General features: G+C 41.4%; 2 pseudogenes across 4 annotated transcripts in view, besides 2 other annotated features; one reads left to right on the forward strand and one right to left on the reverse strand.

Annotated features, from left to right (window-relative positions):
* The window catches only part of H2BP2 (H2B histone pseudogene 2), a 57749-nt pseudogene that overhangs the window by 18402 nt on the left and 14285 nt on the right, over positions 1-25062 (reverse strand). The window contains exons 2-3 of one of the 3 annotated variants that reach the window (NR_160914.1): positions 14390-14906; positions 7992-10006 (exon numbers count right to left, since the gene is read on the reverse strand). The exons of 1 other annotated variant lie outside the window; for it this stretch is intronic. The product of NR_160914.1 is annotated as a H2B histone pseudogene 2, transcript variant 2 (transcript). Of the gene's footprint in view, positions 1-7991; positions 10007-14389; positions 14907-25062 lie in introns of those variants that run through there. One more of the 3 variants, NR_160913.1, reaches the window with a different exon arrangement.
* Positions 2341-2899: an enhancer, noted in NCBI's record as "OCT4-NANOG-H3K27ac hESC enhancer chr1:149362195-149362753 (GRCh37/hg19 assembly coordinates)". NCBI's record gives its function as "activates a minimal SCP1, AML or CMV promoter by ChIP-STARR-seq in primed H9 embryonic stem cells {active_cell/tissue: H9 hESC(primed)}" and the evidence as "EXISTENCE:reporter gene assay evidence [ECO:0000049][PMID:30033119]".
* Positions 9440-18430, forward strand: FCGR1CP (Fc gamma receptor Ic, pseudogene; annotated as a pseudogene). The gene is made up of 6 exons (NR_027484.2): positions 9440-9520; positions 9916-9936; positions 10749-11003; positions 15134-15388; positions 16810-17093; positions 17992-18430. The product of NR_027484.2 is annotated as an Fc gamma receptor Ic, pseudogene (transcript).
* Positions 19730-19919: a silencer, noted in NCBI's record as "silent region_1255". NCBI's record gives its function as "represses an Ori minimal core promoter by ATAC-STARR-seq in GM12878 lymphoblastoid cells {active_cell/tissue: GM12878}" and the evidence as "EXISTENCE:reporter gene assay evidence [ECO:0000049][PMID:35858748]".

Consider the following 25062-nt stretch of genomic DNA (forward strand, 5'->3'; position numbering starts at 1 on the left):
AAAAACACATATATATGAAACTTTGTGATAGAATTGTCAGTTCATATCAAAAACAGGATGATTAGGTCTTTTAAATGGTACTGACACAACTGCTTATACACAAGGGAAAAAAAAGAAATTAGATACCTGCTTCACATCACCTACAGACATGGACTTAAGACTTAATTGTAAAAGGCAAAACTTTAATACTTTTAGAAGAAAATACTTTGGAATCAGCAAAGATTTCATAAGCAAGACAAAAATACTAATCATAAAATAAAATACTGACAAATTAAACCTCATCAAAATTAAGAACTTTTGTACATGAAAAGACAACATAAAGAAAGTCAGGAAATGAGTTGCCAATCAGAAAAAAATAATTTCAACAGAAGTAAGCCATGAGGGTTTGTATCAGACTAAATTTTTAAACCTTTATAAACCAATAAGAAATAGACAAAAGTGCACACTATGAACAAAATAAAAGCCACAAACAGATATTTCATGGAAGAAACTGCATAAATGGTAAATTAACATATGAAAAAGGACTCAACCTCATCAGTAATCAGGGAAATCTAAATTAAGTCTACCATAGAGTACTATTTTATAACTACAAAAATGGAAATGGGGACTAAGAAGTCTTCTTACATTATATAAACCAAAAATAAAATTGTAAGACCCCCCAAGCATCTTAATGGACCCCTCCTCTTGGCCAAGGGCATTCCAAAGTGAACCTGAAAAACTAGTTCAGGCCATGATGGGAAGGGGGAGCTGAACATGCCTCATCATACCCTCCTCCCTTTTGGAATTACTGGTAGAACAGACTCTAAGTCTGATAAAAAAAAAAAAACATTTACAATCTATTCTCTCTGAAGTCTGCTGCCTGGATACCTGGAGGCTTCATCTGAATGACAAAACCTTGGTCTCCACAACCCCTTATCACAAGCCAGATCTTCCTTTCTATTGATAATAACGAATTGCCAATCAGAAAATCTTTGAATCTGCCTATGACTTGGAAGCCACCCCACCCCTGCCTGCTGCTTCCAGTTGTCCTGCCTTTCCAAACTGAACCAATGTACATTTTACATGTATTGATTGATGTCTTATGTCTCTGTAAAATGCATAAAACCAAGCTGCATCCTGACCACCTTGAGTACATGTTCTCAGGATCTCCTGAGGGCTGTGTCACAGGCCATTGGTCACTCATATTTGGCTCAGGATAAATCTCTTCAAATATTTCACAGAGTTTGACTTTTTTGTTGACAAATACTAAGTGTTGACAAGGGATTTAGTGACATAGAAATCCTTATATCCTATTAATGACAGGGCAAAGTAGTATAGCCATGTAGAAATTAACTTGGCATCATCTTATAAAATTAAAAATTTACACATCTATAACACCTTATTTTTCTTTCGGTACCTTTTAAAGATGTTGTTGCTACATTGTCTTCTCACTTGCATTATTTCCAACAAGAAATCTGGTGTTTTCTTTGTGCCTCTGTGTGTAGCATGTCTTTTTATCTCCGATCACTTTTGAGATTTTCTCTCACTAACTTTCAGTAATTTGATTATTAAATCCTTATGCTGTTTTCTTCATGGTTTTTGTTGTTTGGGGGGTGTTTTTATTTGTTTTTGTGCTTGGGGTTCATTGAGAATCTTGGATTTATAAATTTATAGTGTAGGGGAGAAAAAATAATTTTTCTTCTACCCTTCTGAGTTCTCAGCTGGGACTTTTATAACAAGACAGATTAACAAGAGAAAAGCAGATAATCAGGGAAAAATGAGTAACTCTCAAAGAGGTGGCCTAGAATTTTGGCTTATGTAGCATCTTCAACTAAAAGAAAGAAAGAAGGGTGTTGGGAAAGCAAGCTATGGGAAAGCGTTCAGGAAAATCAAACAAGAGTAAGGTTTATTATGCAGATTTAAATTGGTGCCTTCTCCATTGGTAAGAGCCTTTTGTGATTTAGTCCTCCTTCTTTTCCCAGCCCAGAGAGGGAGATAGCCTTAGAAATGGAGATTTCTTTTAAAAATGTAAATTTCCCTTACAGAAGGGTAACTTCTACTGTGTTTTTAGAATTCTCCTGTGTCTACTGTTTCTCAAAATAATCAGCTCAAAATAATCCTTATGCCAAAAAGTCATATTTTAGGGTGGCACATGCCTGTCTCCTACAAGTTTTCATCAAGTTTGAAAACTTTTTGGTCATTCTTTGTTCAAATATTTTTTCTATCTGTTACCAGGAAGGGGTCCCAATCCAGACTGCGAGAGGGTTCTTGGATCTCATGCAAGGAAGAAGTTGGAGTGAGTCCATAGAGTAAAGTGAAAGCAAGTTTATTTAAGAAAGTAAAGAAATAAAGAATGACTACTCCATAGGCAGACCAGCCCCGAGGGTTACTGGTTGGCTATTTTTGTGGTTATTTCTTGATTATATGCTAAACAAGGGGTGGATTATTATTCCTTTCCAGGAAAGGGGGGGGGCAATTCCAGGAACTGACAGTTCCTCCTCTTTTTAGACCATATAGTGTAATTTCCTGACGTTGCCATGGCACTTGTAAACTGTCATGGTGCTGGTGGGAGTGTCTTTTAACATGCTAATGGATTATAATTAGCATATAATGAGCAGTGAGGACGATCAAAGGTCACTTTCATCACCATCTTGGTTTTAGTGGCTTTTGGCCAGCTTCTTTACCATATCCTTTTATCAGCAAGGTCTTTGTGACCTGTTCCTTGTGCTGACCTCCTATCTCATCCTGTGACTAAGAATGCCTTAACCTCCTGGGAATGCAGCCCAGTAGGTCTCAGCCTTATTTCACCCAGCCCCTATTCAAGATGGAGTTGCTCTGGTTCAAACGCCTCTGACATATCCACCTTCCTCTTTTTTCAAGGACTCCAATTGTAACGCTAAAGATTTTTGCCTTAGCCAGACCAAAGAATTGGTGTGGCGGCTGCCCGTGGCGATGGAAACACGGACCAAGAGAAAAAAGGCTGTAGGCTTTATTGAGCAGAGTGACAGTACAAAGCTTTTCAGCGTGGAAGGGGTTTCGAGCGGGTAGTCAGAGGTCGATGATGCAGTTGCTTTTGAAACTCTTTAAGGCGGGAAATACGTGTAGAGGGAAGATGTTACCAGAGCGAGAAACAAAGGCAGTAAATTATTTTGTGACATGTTTTAGATTTTGAGGAAAACCAGAATTGTAACTTAGGTTTTATTTATTTTATGACCTTGCAGCAGCATGGCAAAGGAAACAATCTTACAGGACTTTATAAAGTATGTTTACAAGGAATTGGAATTGGGAGTATAGATAAAGTTCGCTGGTCATAGAAAAACAGGCATTTAATATTCCTTTTAGTTTTAGGGGAGGGGGAAGGGAGAGAGGGAGAGAGGACACAGGGAAGCTTACAGCAAAATTTTTGCTGTTTATAGTTTTTTTTGGGAAGAAAACACATGCACAAATCCTGGTGTTAGGAATATTTTAAGCATATATCTTTAATATTATTCATTCAGGACCGAAGTAAGTTCTGATGCAGAAAATGAGTGAGTTTTACAGCTTTCTGAGCCCCTGTTTGACTCAGGAAGCCCAGCTGGCCCCCTCCTTTCAAAATTACACATATATTAGGCCACTTGAAGTTGTCCCACACCTCACTGATGCTCTTTTCATTTTTTTTTTAACCCTCTGTTTCATTTTGGATTGTTTCTATTGCTCTGTCTTTGCATTCATTAATCTTGTTTTCTGTGGTCTAATGTGCTCTCAATCCCATCCAGCATACTGGTATTCATCTCTAGAAGTTGGATTTTAGTGTTTTTCTATTTTCCATGTCTTAATTGAGGTAAGACCCTTCTGGGTTCTCTATCACATGCCTTGTGAATTGTGCTCTCCTTTTTTGGGAACTGGCACTATTTCCAGCCCTGTGTGACTGTTGGGTACTGTTCTAGCTAATGCTTTCAAGTGGTTCTTTCCTGGGGTAGTTTTTTCACACACGTGCACCTGTGAAATTAAAAAAAAAAAGAAGAAGAAACTTTTTATCTGAGGAATGTGAGCCCCTTTAAATTATCAGGCTCAGAGAGGCATTGGAATGAAACTGCAGTCACATCACTCCCCCTTGAGTGATTATCTTGTAAAGCCACTTGCTATACGGGCTCCAGACTAACTGATGCCAAGCAGCCATAAAATAACATATGCTGGACACCACGACTCATATCCTATAGTTCAACAGTGTATAACCAATAACTAATCCATGTCATCTCTGTAAGCCAATGAAAATTTCTATCAAAGAACTTTGTATCCATCCACTTCTTCTTACCTTTGCCTTTAAAAACCTGCTTGTAACAAAAGCTGATTGAGCACTCCCTGAGTTAACTTGGAAGTGTGTCCTGGGCAGCTGTGCTCACTTTGGCTCAAGTAAACTCTTTAAATTATATCTTGTGCTTCAGCCCCTTCCTTCTAGATCAGCACACTGATTACTACTCTGCTGAATACTTGGTGGGGACCCTCAGCAGATCTCTGGAATTCTCTCTGTGTGCAGCTTTTTCATTTCCATTTCTTGGATCCATGAGCTCTAGCCACCTTGGTCTCTCCAGACTCAGCTCTGTCTCCTCAATTCTGGGACTCCACTGGGACCTGCCTGAGTTCCCCTGTACCACAGCCTGGAGACCCTCTCAATGCAGTAGATGAGGCAATTGCAGGGCTCATCTTTTTTCTTCCCTATCTCTCAGGGGTGACTGTCTTTTGTTGCCTGATGTCCACAGTTTCAAAAAAACATTGTTTCATGTATTTTGTTCTTTTGTTTAATTTTGTTTAGTTTAATTTTGTTTCAGGTGAGAGGATAAATCCAGTCTCTGCTACTCCATCTGGGCTGGAAATCTGGTATATCATTAATAATATTCTTGTTGTTAATTTGGGTTGTGGGTTTATAAATGTTCATTTTCTTATTTTGCATCATTAACCATATACACATATATATTACACATTTTTTCATTTGCGTAAAATATTAGTCAACTTTTTTAAGTTCTAAAAGAAAGTGAAGAGCCCTGGGGCGGAACAAGGGCAAAGAAGTAGGAAGAGTCTGTGGCCAACCTCTTAACTCACGTACCTTTCTGACCCCTCTACCTCTTCTACCTAGAGCCCTCCATCTCAGCCAGCTCCCCCTGTCCTTGTCACCATGACTCTGAAGGTGCCTTTCTGACACACCAAGATGGTCAAGGAAAAATGGTGCTGGGTTAGGTGACAGGGAAGATCATGAGCTTTCATACTTTATGATCTGACAAGCCACTGTAGCCTCTCACATTTATATACTAAGTGAGGGTCTTTCAGAATAGCGCTTCAGTGTCTGCACCTGACTCACACTATTAGGCAGTTAAAAGCTGGGGAATGAGCTCATGTGAAGAGTTTTTCCATTTCAGATCATAGCTATTTTTAGGAACACAAGCTACATAAATGTTTTAACCCTTTTCCCATCCTTTTCCTCTTGCTGCTGTGATACAGGAAGGAAATCAAAATGGAGTGACCTTGCTATCTGGGGAAAGATGAAAACTGCATATGCAAAAGCAAACAGACTGAGATTTATAACGAGTTGATCCCTTAAAAGCTTAGGAAAGAATCTCAAGGGCACATAGGAAAATAAGCAAAGGGCTTGATAGACATAATCATGACAACACAAGAAGGTGAAGTCGGGAAGAGGAAATGGACAAGGTCATCCCAAATTGAAATAACTTATAAAAGATAAATTATAATATCTCCAGAAATTAACTGTAAACATTCCTATAAAATCATAGATGATAATTTTTTAAAATAAAAGATTGAGTAGTAAGAATAACTAAGAATAAAAAATTAATGAGTTCCTAGTGGAAACTTAAAATTGAACCACTGGGGGACTTTCTATAATGAATGGCAGTTGAAGAAAAAAATTGGGTAAACTTTATATGAATATTTGAGAAACACCTCAAGCATTAGCAACTACATAAAAGTTATACATTTCACCTGTCCAAGAGCTGTTACAACAGTATACAAAACATATTAAGCAAAATTGTACTATAGACAATTACTTATATGCAATTCTTTACTTAAAATTTAGCAGATACATTTGAATAGTTTCTAAAACACATGATCATCAAAGAAGGAATTGAGTAGGAAATAAAGCATTACTGTTTTTTACTCATAAAGAGATGAAAATAAAATAAATTATTGGTCAATTCTTTATGAGATTTAAATTATCTTAGCATTTATTTGTTTGTTTTTGAGACAGGGTCTTGCTCTGTCACTCAGGCTACAGTGCAGTGACACAATCACAGCGCACTGCAGCCTTAACCTCCCAGACTCAAGCAATCCTCCTGCCTCAGCCTCCCAAGTAGCTGGGACCACAGGCATGAACTACCATGCCCAGCTAATTCTTTTTATTTTTAGTAGAGACAGGATCTCACTATATTACCCAGGTCAGTTTCAAATTCCTGGGCTCAAGCAATCCACACACCTTGGCCTCCCAAAGTGTTGGGATTACAGGCATGAGCCACTGCACCCAGCCTATCTCATCTTTTAAAAAAAACATATCAAATAATTGTTCATAAATCATTTTCTATAGTAGAGAGCAATTTTTCTTAAAATTGGCAAATAAGATTTTGCATCTACCTTTGAGAAAATTGTATTTGTAAAGTGATTTTAAAAGAATGAAGCCTATGAGTATGATGGCATTATAAAAGTATCAGTGGCCAGGTGCAGTGGCTCATGCCTGTAATCCCAGCACTTTGGGAGGCTGAGGCAGGCGGATCACAAGGTCAAGAGATTGAGACCATCTTGGCCAACATGGTAAAACCCCGTCTCTACTAGAGATACAAAAATTAACTGGGCATGGTGGTGTGCACCTGTGATCCCAGCTACTGGGCAGGCTGAGGCAGGAGAATTGCTTGAACCTGGGAGGTGGAGGTTGCAGTGAGCCAAGATCGTGCCACTGCACTCCAGCCTGGGTGACAGAGCGAGACTCCATCTCAAAAAAAAAAAAAAGTATTAATGTATGGAAATACAAATGTCATATATAGATGTAAATTCTCCTAATTGTTCTTCTGAGCATCATGATTTTTTTCCATGAATTTTTATTTTAAGTTCCAGGGTACATGTGCGGGATGTGCAGTTTGATTACATAGGTAAACGTGTGCCATAGTGATTTGCTGCACAGATCAACCCATCACCTAGGTATTAAGCAAAGCATTTATTAGCTCTTCTACCTGACATTCTCCCTCCCCCAACCCCACCCGACTGGCCACAGTATGTGTTGTTCCCCCACCATGTGTCCGTGTCTTCTCATCGTTCAGCTCCCACTTATAAGTGAGAACAGAGCATCATGATTTTCATTGTCCATCAAATGCTAGAAGACTACTCTGCTTTTGTTACTATGTTTGCCCCATTTTTCTAGCTCTTCTTACATGAATTTAAACCTACATCAATGGCTATTTCCTCAACATTTGGAAACAACAATACTTATTAGAAAGAAAGTATTTTATCCTTCCAGGCTATAGATCTTACATTCCTCTTACACAACAATCCTAATTCCCTCATGTTATCCTGATCAATGAAATGATTTCACTTATTTTTCAAAGAAGTAGCTATTTTACTACAAAGCAGGAATCGCAAGGCATGGGGTGGGCACTGTTATACTCCATCAGTGAGTATGTAAAGGAAATCAAACTGTCTGATTTTGAATCCTGCTTCTATTTTTTACAACCTTGGACAAATTACTGATTTCCTCTTTCACTAGGTTTATCATTTGTAAAATGGAGATACTAGTGTCTACTCATGGATTATTGTGAGGCTTAAATAAGAAAACATGTATCAAGCATATTTGTCTGGCATGTAATAAGCACTCTAAAATTTATGCAGCGATGAGGATAATGATCCTAGACAATCTGATAGCATCTTATCCAAAGGAAAAAATGCGCATTTCCTTTGAGTAAGCACTACTGATTCTAGGAATGTGTCCTAAGGAAAAAATAAGTCAAATGTTTAAAGGTAGTCACAAGACTATTTTGGTAGTAAGCAGTCTTTTTTACTGGTCACACAGTAAAAAATTAGAAATAACCTACATGTTCATGAAGAGAAGTTGGTGAAATAAATTATGGTACATGCATACAGTAGAAAACTTTGGAGACAAAATAGTAAAATAGTTACAGATATAGGCTTTGAATATAAATTTTAACAAGCTGAGGCTTCTCTCGTCTCTTCAGAACACCCTGAGTTCTTCCCGGCCTTTCTTCCTTGCTTTTCATTTGTGTCAGTCAGCTCTTGCTTGTACAGCAATCTTCAAATCTCAGTAGCATATAAAGGTAAGCATTTAGTTCTCACTTACAAGTTTGCAGGGCAGGTGAGGCAGCTCTGCCTCAAGCCACAATGTCTAGGACAGCTCTGTTTCGCACGGTGGCTGACTAGCTAAAAAATGTTCTTGTCTCAGCAATCACAGGAGAACAAGAGGGTGAGAGATAATGTGTGAAGCTTCCTAAGTGCTAAGTTTGAAATTAGCACCATGTCATTTCCATTCACATTTCGCTGGCCAATGAAAGTCTCATGATGAGCCACAGTCAAGAGTCAGAGACGTACCCTCATGAGGCTGTGGAGAGAGTGTAGATTCAGGGAGCGGTGAGAAACTGGGGCCAGTACACCAATCTACAGCATGATTTGTCATCATTTTTCATTCTCTGCTAGTAAGATTGCCAAAGTCTCTCTGCACTCATTGAATTCATCCTAGTTTCCATTTAGCTCTCTTTCTCTCTTACCACAATACCTAAAAATCTTTTTATGGGGTTACAACTCTGTCTCAGGAGCCACCTCAGTTTGGTGGCACAGAGCTCCCCACTTGTACTCTGAAACTCTTTTCTTGAAGATATTGTTATCCATGTGCATGAGTTATTTTTCTTCTCCATAGCATCCACATTAAACAATTAATTACCTTGGATTTAGCCAAAATAAACACTCCAAATTCATGATGTCTTTCAGGAAGAGAGTTTGTTTTCTTTTTTAACCAAAATGGGAGATTGATCCTGTCTGTGTCCCCTAGAGGAGCAGAGGCTGGTTTGTATTAGGGCAGCTCTTGTAGATGAGTAACTTTTCCCATGGCCTCATAGAGGCTGATATAGATACTTCTGGATTCAAATGATTGTTTGGAGGCATTAGCCAGGCATTGAACCAATTATAAAGAGTGAGGTTTTGCCATATTCTAACCGTAAGAAACAGAAACGGTAGAGGGTAAAAATAGAATAGAATGTCAACACAACTTTAGCCTTTTCCCTGGATTCTGAGAGTTCATAACCTGAAAATCAGAGATTCAAACTGGGAGAGATGGGCTAACAGGTATGAGCATGGGAAAAGCATGTTTCAAGGATTTGAGATGTATTTCCCAGAAAAGGAACATGATGAAAATGGTCAGAAAAGGCAATTTCCTTCCTCTTTTCTAATTTGGCTCTGGAGCCACCAGCAGAACCTCTTCAATATCTTGCATGTTACAGATTTCACTGCTCCCACCAGCTTGGAGACAACATGTGGTTCTTGACAACTCTGCTCCTTTGGGGTAAGTTGGACTCAGAGGGGACAGTTAGAAGGGTACAGGCTGTGGCTGTTGTGAGTCAAGAGTTTTGTCTTCCTGTGGTAACTCTGGGTAGAACTCATGAGTATGAAGCAACTTGTATCTGTGCTTCCACGGTTTATTAGAGCTTATTTTATGAAAAGGATGGGAAGGGCAACCCTGAGGTAGCATTAAGCCTGGACGCACCGCAGTGAAGTTTCCTTGATAACCACCTGTAGCTTGTTCAGTTCTGTTAGTACTGGATTTTGAGAAAGAGAAATAGAAACTCAAGAGATCTGAGTTGATCCCTCAGAGTCTACATTAATTCTGTCTCCCCAATTCTCTCTTCCTCATTATTTTCCTTGGACCAACTGATATCTTTATTCTCTGATCTCTTGCAGTTCCAGTTGATGGGCAAGTGGGTGAGTGATCTCTAACTCAGCTTCTCCTTCTATGCCACTTTCCTACTTCCAAAGGATGGGTCCTATTAACCTGCAGAAGAGCATATAGGGAAAGCAGAGAAAGAAGAAAGATTTATAAATTATGTAAAATCTCCCATATTCAGAGCATGATTTTCATAAAAACTATGATTTGTAAGCTTTCTTTCTAAAGTTTTCTGAATGAGCTCTTTCCTCTGAGCGAAATGCCTGAATGTATATATAACAGCAGGAAAGGGCCAGAATTGCACAAACACTAAAGTAGTCTGCTGACACTGAAGTAGTCTGCTGGGTTTCCCAACATCCCCTAAACCAGTCCCCTTTACAAGAAAGCAGAGTGGGTTTTTTCTCCTCAGAAAGAGCCAGGCAAATACTGAAGGCTTCAAAGAGAGGAGTTTGAACCTCCGTTTCCAATGTACAAGCTGCTGAAGCCCTGCAATGTACTCTCAGAGACAGTATAGCTCAGAGGATAAGGAAAACAGCTCCGCTTGGCTTGCCCAAGTCTAAAACCCTGCTTCATTGCTCCCAACAGAAAAACCTACATCAGTAATTTAATCCTCAGGAGCCCCAGATTCCCAACACCCAGATGAGGATTTAATAACAATGAACAGAGGTCTCTGCAGCAGGAGGACACTCTTAAAGGCTGGCTTTTGTAGGTTTCCACTTGCCTATTTTTCAAATAAATCTAAATATGTATTTTTCCCTTGTGCTATCCACAAAAGCCTCACCAGTTGCTCAGAGCCCTCCCCTTTACTCCACTTGATCTTTTTCTTTTTCTTCTTGTAATCTCCAAGTAGACACCACAAAGGCAGTGATCACTTTGCAGCCTCCATGGGTCAGCGTGTTCCAAGAGGAAACCGTAACCTTGCACTGTGAGGTGCTCCATCTGCCTGGGAGCAGCTCCACACAGTGGTTTCTCAATGGCACAGCCACTCAGACCTCGACCCCCAGCTACAGAATCACCTCTGCCAGTGTCAATGACAGTGGTGAATACAGGTGCCAGAGAGGTCTCTCAGGGCGAAGTGACCCCATACAGCTGGAAATCCACAGAGGTAATTATGACTTGGACCAGGAGGGCCGGAAACTACAAGGTCTTCCTCTGCGTTCTCTCCTTTCTGGATGCCAGATGTGTGTGTGTCGATTTATCTGGGTGCAGGTCTCAGCACTACGTACCTACCAGGTGACACTAAATCAGTATACTCAAAACATCACAGCAGGGTCCTTAAACTGTGTACCAACAGTACCTCAGCTGGGCCAGCTCTAAGTAGGATGTCTAGAGTTAAGACTTCGGCCCTAAGATTGTATCATTATTCCAAATGTATGCCTGTACATAGTAAATAATAATAATTCAAACAAATGAGCAATAATGAACAATGAAATATCTTCCTCCCACCCAAAACCCTAGATCTGCAGTCACCTTCCACAGAAACAAAACTGCTAATATATATATATACATATTATGCATATATATGTATATATTAGCATTATTATATATAAACTATATATATATATATATATATATATATACACACATATATATAGTTTTAAAGCTGTGGGTGGTAGAACACTTTCTAAGTATTGTCCTATATCTTACTTTTATCACTTAAAATACCTTGAAGTTCTGTTTATATTAATAGAAATCCACTTTAAAATGTCTGCTGCACAGCTGTACCAGAATTAATTTAACCATTCTGCCTATTAGCAAATTTATAAGATGTTTCCACTCTTTTGATTTTACAAGCATTGCTGCAATAATTATCTTTATACATACATTCCGGGGGCACATTTCATAGGGTATCTGTAAGATAATATTCTGGACATGGAATTATTGTCATATTTTAATAAGTGGAAGCAGAAAAGCCCACCACCCACTTAAACCTGTAAGGAGTTTCTATTCATCAAGAGATGGAGACTGCAATATTCTTCAGGGAAAAATGCTTCATTCAATATGCAAGACAAAATAACCAAATGTATTATTTAGTTATTCAGAAGTGATGAGTTTAAACTTCTTTAAAAATGATAATGCAAAAGTTAATCCACACTGGAGGCAAAATTGCCTTTATGCAGACATGGTTGCTGTTAGAGGAAATGTGTTTTAGCCAAGGAAATGTTGAGAATGTCTGAGGGAAGGCTTGATGTTCCTCATGTGTCCCTTAGGTCTCTGTAAATAAGTTCTTAGGATGGAGAGGTTAGGGAAGCTGACAGAGCTGTTTCCCTTTTTTTTTTTTTTTTTTTTTTTTTTTTTTTTTTTTGAGACAGAGTCTCACTCCGTTGCCCAGGCTGGAATGCAGTGGTGCGATCTTGGCTCACTGCAACCTCTGACAGAGCTGTTTCAACAAGACACTTTGGGTAATTCAAGCAGAAGTGTTTCATGGTTCAAGTGACAACAAAAGGACTAGGGCTGGGAAGAGCCCATTTTCTTTACCTCTACACAGACTCTAGGACACTCAGCATCAGTGACTTACTGAGAATCATATCTTTTTTACATTACATTTTAATGTGAATTTTCATTGAAATATAACTTATGTACAACAAGCCATAAATGTACGCCACAGTAAATTTTTTCAAAGTAAACAGCATCCAGATCTATTTTAGACATTTCCAGCACCTCAGAAACTCCTTCTTGCCCATTTCTAGTCCACCCCTGACACTGACTTCCAGCACCATAGGTTTTTTGCCTATTTTTGAACTTCATATAAAGGGCTACGGTATGGGACAGGATGTACTCTTTTGTGTCTGGTTTATTTTTCTCAACATTATGATTGTGAACAGTATACATGTTGTAAATTGAAGTTCATTTGTTCTTATTACTGTATATTTCATATTTTCCCATTCTGCTGAGGGGCTCGGGTTGCTTCTGGTTTTGACCACTTACAAATAGTAATGCTGTGGATATTTTTGTTTACATGTTTCAAATATTTTCTACCATTACTAATGTTCGACAGTATCTGATGGAGGTATGTTACAATTTCCCACTCTTTTGGATATACAAATGCAAATTAAGCATTTCCCTAATGACTATGATATTGACCATTTTTCACGTTTATTACCTATTTGGGTATCCTTTTTTGTAAGCTCTTTTTGATAATTTTTCTATTGTCTGTCTTTTTCTTACTGACTTATAGGAGTTATTTATATATTCTGGATATAAGTCCTTTTTCAAGTGTCTTAAATATCTTCTCCCACTCTGTGGCTTTTCTTTTCACTATAATATTAAAGTTTTGTTTGTTTTCAATGAACAAGACTTGTTAATTTTACTACAGTACAATACACCAACATTTTTGGTTGGTGCTGTCTATGCCCTATTTTAAAATGTTCCGCCACAGTCAGCCATGGGGAATTCAATTGCAGCTCACTGACTCTTAGTCATTTCAATTTAATCAGTATATGCTAAGACCAAGAAAATGCAGCTGGTTGGTGGACCCGAGCCCTAATCATATGGCTGACACCAAAGTCATGAAGGTAGGGGAATGATTGTTGAGTAGGAAATTAGTAATGTCTGCTAAAAGCTGCATCTCGTGAGTTTTGATATATAATACTACCATTACCATTTAAGTTTAAAACTCATAAATTTCTGTTATACATTATTTTATTCATGAATTACTTAGATGTTTTTTGGAGGGTAGTTTTTTGTTATTGATTTCTAATGTTATAGCACTTTGGTTAGAATTTGTGTTAAACATGGTATCAGTTCATTAGTATTTGTTGAAAATTGCTTTGTGGCCTAGTTCACACTTAATTTTTCTAATATTGCATGTGTGTTTGAAAAGCATATGAATTTTCTTTCTAAAGTAGAGCATCCACAAAATCAAGCCTATTAATTGTGTCATTCAGATATTTTCTACCATTACTAGTGTTTGACAGTTTCTGATGGAGATGTGACAGCATTTCCCACTCTTTTGGATATATAAAGCAAAGATGGCAGTGTTTGGACAGTGCAGTCTTTCAGCATCTGCTGGCTGTGGGTGGGAATAAGGGAGGGAAGAGAATTAATTCTATTTGGAAGCATTATATCAGTATCCATGACTGTAAAATTCATGCTATGTATAGCATAGAAACACCTGCCTTCCATTCTTAGATAAGTTCTGGAGGGGAAAAAGGCACTATTGTCTCTTTTCCGCCTTAGTCTCCTAAGAACCCCATTTTTACTTAGCCAAACCAACTGCCTCTGGAGAAAAGAAAAGTAGTTGAAGCATTTTTGGTTATGTGTAGAGGTGTTTGTCGAAAGGAAAAACCCATTGACTTGGAGCTTGTTTTGCTAGTGATATCATTGATCTTACATATGTGAGTATTCATATCAATGTAGTAGGATGTTTATATCTGGATGTTTGCCCTTCTGTGTGTTTGTCTCAGGATGCGTGGTCCTATTAACAAATTTGTCAAGAGTTGGAGTGTATTTGTTTTCTATTGCTGTGTAACAAATTTAGCAACAACATACATTTAAGATCTTCCAGTTTCCATGGGTCAGGACTCCCATCACAGCTTAGCTGAGTGCTCTGCTGAGAGTCTTCCAAGGCTGCAGTTAGGGTGTTGACTTTGCTGTGTTTCTTTTTGCAGCTCTTCCAGGCTCACAAGGTCACTGGCAGAATTCAGTTCTTTGTGGTTGTAGGACTGAGGTTCCTGCTTTCTTGCTGCCCATCAGTGGGGGGCCACTCTCAGCTCCTAGAGGCCCTTGCCTTGTGGCACTCTTGTAGGCCCTCTCCTGGCGTGGCAGCTTACCTCTTCAAGTTCAGGAGGAGACTTTCCATCCAGACTGCTAAGATAGAGTCTTACATAATGTAGCAATCCCAAGAGTGACATTTCATCACCCTTGTCATATTCTGTTGGCTAGAAGCAAGTCATAGGTTCCACCCACACTCAAGGGGATTATGCAAGGGAGTGAGTCATTGGGATCATTTTAGAATTCTGCCTACCATGCTGTATGAACTGTTTTTGTTTCAACCAACTTCTGAGATCTGGAAAGGGAAGATAAGAAAGGGCTGTGTACGCAGTTGCCAGTAAAGATTGCTTTTCTTTCCACCAAAGCTAAAGATATTTGAGGAACTGGATATAGGCCTGAGATTTAGCAGAGCTCTGAGGCTGGATGTTGCAAGGAGAAAAAATAGGAAGCCCACAGGGCCAAGCTTGGGCCTCCTTGTACCTCCTCCACTGTATACATACATTTTGGGTTCATATTTTTCAGGCTGGCCACTACTGCAGGTCTCCAGCAGAGTCTTCACGGAAGGAGAACCTCTGGCCTTGAGGTGTCATGCGTGGAAGGATAAGCTGGTGTACAATGTGCTTTACTATCGAAATGGCAAAGCCTTTAAGTTTTTCCACTGGAATTCTAACCTCACCATTCTGAAAACCAACATAAGTCACAATGGCACCTACCATTGCTCAGGCAAGGGAAAGCATCACTACACATCAGCAGGAATATCACAATACACTGTGAAAGGTATTGTATTGGAATAGTCATAGAACTGATAGTCCCTCCCCCTGAGGGACCATCATAAATATTCTAAACTCCTCACTTTAATTTACAAGTGAAGAAACCGGGCTCCAGAGAGGTAAACTGCATTACTAAAGGCCACACCATGACCAGTAGCTGGAACCAGAACTGAGGTCTCTGGGTCCTAGTCCAATACTCTTTCCAGTGTACCGCAAGCCCCATCAATAATCACAGGAGCTAATGTCAATGTCAGGGCATAATGGTGATCCATTTCATCCATCATTATTTTAGTTGTAAAGAATACAGACTCACTCTAGGTAGATAGGAGAGTTAGAAAATAATACCATGGAATCTCATGGAAGCCCCATAGAAAGAGAAACCTGGAAAATATGAGGAACGGGCTATACTGTCCATCTACCTCTCAGGGACAAAGCAGCCTCTGTGGTGCCACTTCTTCCTGAGCATCTGCAGGCTAAGCAGTTTGCATATGGCCTTGTTCTGACCCTTTCACGGCCTTTCCTCTTAATACAATCACTAGCAACCTTTCTCTGTCTGAGAAAAAAAAAAGTTCACTCCTGTGGGAAAGAAATTATTGTCCCAGATTATCTTTTAAAGTCAGGAACAAAAATAATGAGTCACTGAAATGTGGCGGGCACCTGTAGTCCCAGCTACTCGGGAGGCTGAGGCAGAATAGCATGAACCCGGGAAGCGGAGCTTGCAGTGAGCCGAGATAGCGCCACTGCACTCCAGCCTGGGCAACAGAGCGAGACTACGTCTCAAATAATAATAATAATAATGATAATAAAGTCACTGAAATGGCAAGTGTGTGAGTCAGGGTTCACTCCTAGTTGACCACTGCCAAAAGGGCATGGTTATTGACCAGATGACATGGTCATTCAGGGAAGGATGGACCATGTAGGGCAGGGGTTCCCAACCCTTACTGGTCCGTGGCCTGTTAGGAACTGGGCTGCACAGCAGGAGGTGAGCTTCTTCATGAGCCAGCATTACGGCCTGAGCTCCTCCTCCTGTCCAATCAGTGGCGACATTAGATTCTCATAGAAACATGAATCCTATTGTGAATTGTGCGTGCCTGATGATCTGAGGTGGAACAGTTACCTTCCAAAACCGTCCCCACTTCACCCCCCGGCTGTGGAAAAGTTGCCTTCCACAAAATCCATCCCTAGTGCCAAAAAGGTTGGGGACCACTGGTATAGAGGTATCCTCAGTAGGACTCAGCAAGCTGGCAACCCTAATTATGTCTATTAGGACACCCCAAGAATGGCTCTCTGCTGGAAGTAAAAACGGTTAATGCCTTATGGATTCATTTTCTAAGGCCAGGTTTCCCAAGGGGGTAAAGGGCATGTCTTTTGTGAAAAGGACCTGGATGCTAAACAGGCAACCCTTTCCCCCATCAACTTTCTCCTTAGAGCTATTTCCAGCTCCAGTGCTGAATGCATCTGTGACATCCCCACTCCTGGGGGGAATCTGGTCACCCTGAGCTGTGAAACAAAGTTGCTCTTGCAGAGGCCTGGTTTGCAGCTTTACTTCTCCTTCTACATGGGCAGCAAGACCCTGCGAGGCAGGAACACATCCTCTGAATACTAAATACTAACTGCTAGAAGAGAAGACTCTGGGTTATACTGGTGCGAGGCTGCCACAGAGGATGGAAATGTCCTTAAGCGCAGCCCTGAGTTGGAGCTTCAAGTGCTTGGTGAGTGAGAATGATGGGAAGCCACTGGCACAGAAGAAGGGACTCCCTTATCTCCCATGGGACTGAGGTTTGTTCAAGGGTTTTTGGCCCAGACAGGAGGGGAAAGTCTCTTCAGGAAAAGCCCACAAGCAGGCCTTTCCATCCTTGATTCACAACATCACTCTTCTCCTCGCAAACTGTTAAATTTCCTTTCCTTTCTTTTTCTTTTTCCTTTGCCTTTCCTTCCTCCATTTCTTTCCTTCATTTTCTCCTCTGTCCTTCTTTTCTTCTCCTTCATTTTATTTTCCCCTCCCTCCCACTCTTCCCTCCACTCCATGACCCCCGCTTCTCTCTCTCTCTCTCCCTGCTTCCCTGCCTCCCTCCTCCTCACCAACAATCTCACCAACAATTTATCAAGTTCTTCCTATCTGTTGTCATACGTCTGGGGATATAAAGACATTTGAGTATAGTTCTTGCTTCAAGGAGCTCACAAGGTGGATTTATCAGACAGTGATTTTGTAAACTGCAAATCACCACCTCCCCAAGTATCTCTATTTAACTGAGGCAGAGGGATTGTGAGCTCCAGAACAAAGTCTCCTTGGGGGGGAAAAAAGTTCATCTTCAACCCAAATTCATTTCAAGTATTAAATGGCACAGAGATATCAGTTGTCTCTGGAACTAGGAAGTAAGTCCACTGACAGGGCCCAGCAATTAAGCTCTTCCAAGGAGCCTGTCCCTGTCTATACACCATATAGCCAGTTAGAGCTACCGCCAGTTCCTTCCTGCTCCCTGAAATGACCAGTGCCTCCCTGAGGACAGGCACATCAGGTCTCAGCCAACCTTCCCTTCCAAACATAACTCAGCCAGACCCCTCTGGTCTCTAAATAGTATCTCTTCTCTTTGTCTTTTTCTGTTTCAGGCCTCCAGTTACCAACTCCTGTCTGGTTTCATGTCCTTTTCTATCTGGCAGTGGGAATAATGTTTTTAGTGAACACTGTTCTCTGGGTGACAATACGTAAAGAACTGAAAAGAAAGAAAAAGTGGAATTTAGAAATCTCTTTGGATTCTGGTCATGAGAAGAAGGTAATTTCCAGCCTTCAAGAAGACAGACATTTAGAAGAAGAGCTGAAATGTCAGGAACAAAAAGAAGAACAGCTGCAGGAAGGGGTGCACCGGAAGGAGCCCCAGGGGGCCACGTAGCAGCGGCTCAGTGGGTGGCCATCGATCTGGACCGTCCCCTGTCCACTTGCTCCCCGTGAGCACTGCGTACAAACATCCAAAAGTTCAACAACACCAGAACTGTGTGTCTCATGGTATATAACTCTTAAGGCAAATAAATGAACTGACTTCAACTGGGATACATTTGGAAATGTGGTCATCAAAGATGACTTGAAATGAGGCCTACTCTAAAGAATTCTTGAAAAACTTACAAGTCAAGCCTAGCCTGATAATCCTATTACATAGTTTGAAAAATAGTATTTTATTTCTCAGAACAAGGTAAAAAGGTGAGTGGGTGCATATGTACAGAAGATTAAGACAGAGAAACAGACAGAAAGAGACACACACACAGTCAGGAGTGGGTAGATTTCAGGGAGACAAGAGGGAATAGTATAGACAATAAGGAAGGAAATAGTACTTACAAATGACTCCTAAGGGACTGTGAGACTGAGAGGGCTCACGCCTCTGTGTTCAGGATACTTAGTTCATGGCTTTTCTCTTTGACTTTACTAAAAGAGAATGTCTCCATACGCGTTCTAGGCATACAAGGGGGTAACTCATGATGAGAAATGGATGTGTTATTCTTGCCCTCTCTTTTGAGGCTCTCTCATAACCCCTCTATTTCTAGAGACAACAAAAATGCTGCCAGTCCTAGGCCCCTGCCCTGTAGGAAGGCAGAATGTAACTGTTCTTTTTGTTTAACGATTAAGTCCAAATCTCCAAGTGCGGCACTGCAAAGAGACGCTTCAAGTGGGGAGAAGCGGCGATATCATAGAGTCCAGATCTTGCCTCCAGAGATTTGCTTTACCTTCCTGATTTTCTGGTTACTAATTAGCTTCAGGATACGCTGCTCTCATACTTGGGCTGTAGTTTGGAGACAAAATATTTTCCTGCCACTGTGTAACAGCTGAGGTAAAAACTGAACTATGTAAATGACTCTACTAAAAGTTTAGGGAAAAAAAACAGGAGGAGTATGACACACACAGCAACTTGATTCTAGATTATTTGGTTTGATCCGTAAATGATGGGATGGGGCGTCGCGCTCCGAGCGTGTCCCGCGGCGGGCCCCTGGCGCCACACTGTGGCCGCATGTGCATATTGCAGCCTCCGCCCGTATCTGGGGGCCGCAGCCGCCAGCGCCCGGGGACCCAGCTGCGGCGAAAGCTGTCGGGCGCGCGCTTCGCCGCAGCTCCGCGCCCCCGCCAAAACCCAGTGAGAAATTATTTGCATTCCTGGAGCCTGCAGGAGCGAGAAATGAGCTGTAGGAGTCGGTGGGCAGCAACGGCGGCAGGCGGATGGAAGAGAGCAAGGGGTCGCCGTTCGTGTCCCATTCGCCCGAGTCAAGGGGCGGCCCCCCAAAATCCCAACGTCATTGTTTCCTCGGGGCCGGCAGGTGTGAAAACCCGGCGGCAGAATGGAAGTTCGGTAGTCTGCGAGGGCCCGCGGCCTCCCCAGGCGCGTAGCTGAGTCCCTCCAACCCCGCCCCGGGCCCGCCTGCTCCCGGGCCCCGGCGCGGCGCCACCTGGCGGCCGTCTGTGGAGGTTGCAGCTGCCGCCAAGCCACGGGGATGCTGCCGGCCTCAGGTGCCCCCGGCCGAGCCTCCGCGGAGAGGAGGACTGGTAGATCACAGGAAACGGGAGGACGGCGCTGGGCTCCCAGCAGGCGCCCCAGCTTCTTGGCTTGTCGCAAGAGCAGCCGGAGGCGGCGGCGGCAGGGAGGGAGCGGGTGGGGAGTGGGAGAGGCCGCCCGCCTCCCCGTCCAGCTCGGAGGACCTCCCAGCTGGTTCCCTCACCGTCAAAAGCAGGAAGGGAGCTGGCTCGGCGGGATCAGCAAGCCAGCGGGCAAGAAGGCTCCAGGCTCCGCAGGGGCCACCCCACATGGACTCGGGAACCGCCGAGCTTCACCCACAAGGGCCCACGGCCCATCCTATCACGGATGAAAAGATTACAGGACTGACAATGAGCCCCTGGAGGGATCTGATGCAGCTGGCGGGGAGAAAGGTGGGTCGGACTTAGAGGGGTGGTGGGGTGGAGGAATATCTTTCTTCTCCCTGGGACCTACCGAGGCTTCACCTGTGAGGGTCTTGGGCCCATCCTTCAATCCGAGAGCTTCCAAGCCAAAGCACAGCTCCCCAGAGTGGACAAGTGGAGCAGAACCGGCATTAGGTTGGGAGGGTGGGTCGTTAGGGGTAGTTCTTCACCTTGCAGGCTGGGTATGGAGACCTCTAAATTCATCCTAGGGCCACAAGAGCTTCTGTAAGAGTTCAGGCCCGTTTCAGAACACTCAGAGGTTCCTAGCCTGAGAAGTAATCCCCAAAGCAGACCAACCGGTTTGGGGTAAAACAGGAATAGTTGGGTCCATTCTGGATCTTTCCTAGCTAAATGCCTTCAGGATTTAGGAACATTTTCCTAGGAGGGCCAAGGATTAGCTAGACCTGCCCAGCGATTCCAGCCCTGAGAACCAGACAGAATGGAGGTATAGCTGACAGCTGGCTGGGAGGGGGCTGACGGTCCTCACTGCCACCAGGCTTAGTTGGAGACAGATTCCCCGGGCTGTAGAGAGACAACAGTAGAAGCAAAGAGACCAGTTAGGAGTCTAGGTGAGAGGCAGCGGCAGCCTGGACTAACATGGTAACAGTGGAGCTATTGAGAGTGGTCACATTTGGAAGATGTTTTGTAGGAAGTGTCAACAAAGTTTCTTATTGATTAGATGTAGGGAATGTGAGAAAGAGAAGGGGGGGGAACACGTAGATTTTGGGTCAAAGCAATAAATATTCCATTGACAGAATTGAAACAGCAAGTTGGTGGAGGAGGGGAACGGGGTAGCAAGAAGCGAATGTTTCATATTGGACATTTTAAGATTCCTATTTGACATTTAAGTGTAACTCTTGAAAAAGCAATGGATATATGAAGAATCCTAGACTAGAGATACAAATTTGCCAATCATCATATAGATGTGGTATTTAGAGTCAGGGGACTAGAAAGAACAATGTAAGGGGGAAGTACAGATAGAAAAAGGTCTAAGGCTGAGCCATGAAATATGCCACATTTTAGAGGTTGCGTAGAAGAGGTGGTAGCAAAGGATATTGATAAGGAGTACCAGTGAGGTAGGAGGGAAAACAGAGAATAAAACGTCTCAAGAAAGAGAGATCAACTATGTCAAATTCTCCTGAGAAAACTATTGGATTTGGAGTGGGAATGCACTAAATCTGTCGATCTTTTTGGGGCAGGGGCGGGAGGGAGAGGGTTAGGGAGGATTGATATCATTCCAACACTGACTTTCCAATCCATAAACAAGGTATAACTCTCATTTATTTATGTCACTGTTAATGTCTCACAACAATATTATAATATTCTCTCTAGATGTGTTAGATGTATTCTTAGGTCCTTCATTTTTGTGTTATTGTAAATGGTATTGTCAGAATCTTCAGAAGTAATTATTGGCCAGGTGCGGTGGTTCATGTCTGTAATCCTAGCACTTTGGGAGGCCAAGGTAGGCAGACACTTGAGCCAGGTGTTGGAGACCAGCCTGGGCAACATGGCAAACCTCATCTTTATAAAAAATACAAAAATTAGCCAGTGGCACACGCCTGTAGCCCCAGCTACTCAGGAGGCTGAAGTAGGAGGATCAATTGAGCCCAGGAGGCAGAGGCTGCAGTAAGCCAAGATCGCACCACTGCACTTCAGCCTGGGTGGCAGAGGGAAACCCTGTCTCAAAAATAAATAAATAAATAAATAAATAAATAAATAAATAAATAAATGAATGATTATTACCAGTCTCACAGCTGAGGCAGAAATTTAAAACAAATAAATAATAAGTACTGCATTTATTCACTCCAAGAAAAGTAAAAGCTAAGGCCCAGAATGTGGCAAGGCAAGGGTTAAAAAGAAGAGAACAAGTTTTCCTCTGCCTAGCAAGCTTACTTCAAGGACAGTTATAAGATAACGCTGTCCAAATAGCCAAGGTCAAAGGAATAGGCTCCAGACACCCCTCCCTTCCAGAGCAAGGTTGGAGGAAGAAAAAGAGAAAGATTCTTTTACTCTTACTCTTTCCCCAGGCCTCTTAAGCATTATTTACAAATGTCTGTATTTAGCCAGTTTTTGTTTTTCTTTCGATGCAACTACAAGGTCACCAGCTATGCAAGGTCACAAGTTATGTTATGCTATAGATTATGTGACCTGTCACTGTATGATTAACTGCTTTTGTTTTGTGTCTGTAAGGCCGCTTATAAAAACCCCACTCTGTCTTTGTTCAGTGCTCAGCTTTTTAGATGCAAACCTGCTGAGCCGTGCGTACCTAAAATAAACAACAATCCTCCTGTTTTTCCATATTGGCCTCTCCTTTCCTCAGTTTACCACAACATAGCCATAATAGTATAAAAACTGAAAGACCCTAAGACACATATACATTAAGCTTGGCAACGGAAAGCAGGATGTCACACACACACAAAGCTAGTAATGTGAAAATCTGGTCTTGCATAAGGTCTTTTAGGTACAGACTTCTTTGTTAATGCACATTGGCAGGAAAATGGGAACGAATAAAATTGCTTGCTGTCCTTCTCCCTTTATTCTCCACTTCTTGTTTTTTCTAAATGTGGGGTCAAAACTTCCATGAGGGTAAGAAGTTCAGTTTTCTGCCTTTCCCCTTCATCTCCCTATCACACATGTATACTACTCCTTAACACTTAGAGAAGATAAAAAAAGAATAAATTGTGGAGAGGGAGCATATGTGAAAGTAAAAGATTCCCAGACATAATACGGGAGTTAATGGAGAAAGAAAATCTCTAAGGAAGACTAGAAATAATTGGGTTAGGGATTCTCGAGAAGTAAATTAAATTCCCCAAATATGGTATTCTCTGAGAAGATAATTTTGAAGAAGCAATGGCGTGATATCCAGTGAAACAGCAGTCCTCTGGAGCCTGGCTGTGACTTCAAGGCCCAGTTCTTCTGGAAGGGCAGAAAAATACTTTGAAGAGGAGAAATGGGCATTTATATAGGTTTATAAGTACCATCTTTATTTTAGAAAATAATCATTTTCTACCTGGAATTCTAGTTTATTGTGACCAAAGATTGTAAAATTTCAGGATATGGCTGAATTAAAATCTTGGTCCTGCACTTAAATAGCTCCTTGAATTGCAATTTCTTATCCCAATTATTTTATCCTTTCATTCCACTGTGAAATCTATATCATGGCACTTAATAGTCAACTTTATTATTTTAATTTAACAAATGCTTATTTACCTTTCATGGGTTATTTCATTTAGCCTTCATAATATCTCTTGTCATTGCCTCACACTCAGTCGGTGGCTTTTAATACTATTCTATTATTTTGATCAATTTGTATAATATATTCTCTCCTCAGTGTTTGGTAAAGCTGTCTGGGCTTGCTTTTGTTTGTTTTTTGAGACAGAGTTTCGTTGTGTCACCCAGGCTGGAGTGCGGTGGCATGATCTCAGCTAACTGCAACCTCCACCTCCCAGGTTCAAGTGATTCTCCTGCCTCAGCCTCCCAAGTAGCTGGAATCATAGGCACACGCCACCACACCCGGCTAATTTTTGTATTTTTAGTAGAGACAAGGTTTCACCATCTTGGCTAGGCTGGTCTCAAACTCTTGACTTCAAATAATTCACCCACCTCGCCCTCCCAAAGTGCTGGGATTACAGGCATGAGCTGCCGCACCCGGCCTTGGTGCTATTTTTAAGGATATGTATATCTGATTTTTTTTTCTGTTTCTCTTATAGTTAATTCTTTAGTCAGGTATTTTACTTTTCTTAGCTCAACTTTGGTAATTTGTATGGAAAAGTCAACATTTTGTCTACATTTGCAAATATATATCAAAAATACACATCATTTTAATATCTTCTATATCTAGTATTACTTATGTGCTTTTTCAATAGTAAGTTTACGGAAGGATTAACTCTTAATTTTCTTTTCAGGGAACACAGTGTTTGGTTTTATAAATTCCATTTTGGTGGAATAGGAAGGTATGATCTGTTTCATTGACTATGCTTTCATCTTACTTTATGCCTTCTACTTTCCACAGGTTTTTGTTGTGTTCCTTTGTTAGCGTTGGAGTTAAAAGCTTAATTCTCTCTCTGTTGCTCAGGCTGGAGTGCAGTGGCATGATCTCAACTCACTGTAACCCTCCACCTCCCAGGCTCAACGATCCTCCTGCCTCGGCCTCCCTAGCAGCTGGAACTATAGGCGTGCACCACGACATCCAGCTAATTTTTGTATTTGTTGGAGACACAGGGTCCTGCCATATTGTCCAGGCTGGTCTCCAATTCCAGAGGCAATAATTGGGAGGCCAAGGCGATCTGCCTACCAATTATTTTCTCTTAAATGCATTTTAAAGCTACAAATTTTCTCCTGACTGCTTCATGTAGGTTTTAATATTATTTGCCATGAAATATATTTCACAGTGGAATGACAGATAATTGGGATAAGAAATGGCAATTCAAGGAGTTATTTAAATATAGGGCTAAGATTTGAATTCTAGCTTACTGGGACCAAAGCTTGTGAAGTCTCAGGGTATGGCTGAATTATAGTGCTCTTGTTATTTCTAAAGAGCGTATAATTTTTATTCTGATATCCCCTTTAACCCATGTGCTTTTTCCTAAGAGTACAACTTAAGGAGGGCATGTTTGATTATTTTATTGTTTTATAATCAGTTAACTATGCCCTGGTCCTATATGGTTTCAGCTTTTCAGCACTTGTTGAGGCTTAATTTGCCATCTCACTTATGGCCAATTTTTGTCAATATTCTATGTGAA

This window comes from Homo sapiens, chromosome 1 (genome assembly GCF_000001405.40).
Source record: "Homo sapiens chromosome 1, GRCh38.p14 Primary Assembly".
NCBI classification, from domain to species: domain Eukaryota; kingdom Metazoa; phylum Chordata; class Mammalia; order Primates; family Hominidae; genus Homo; species Homo sapiens.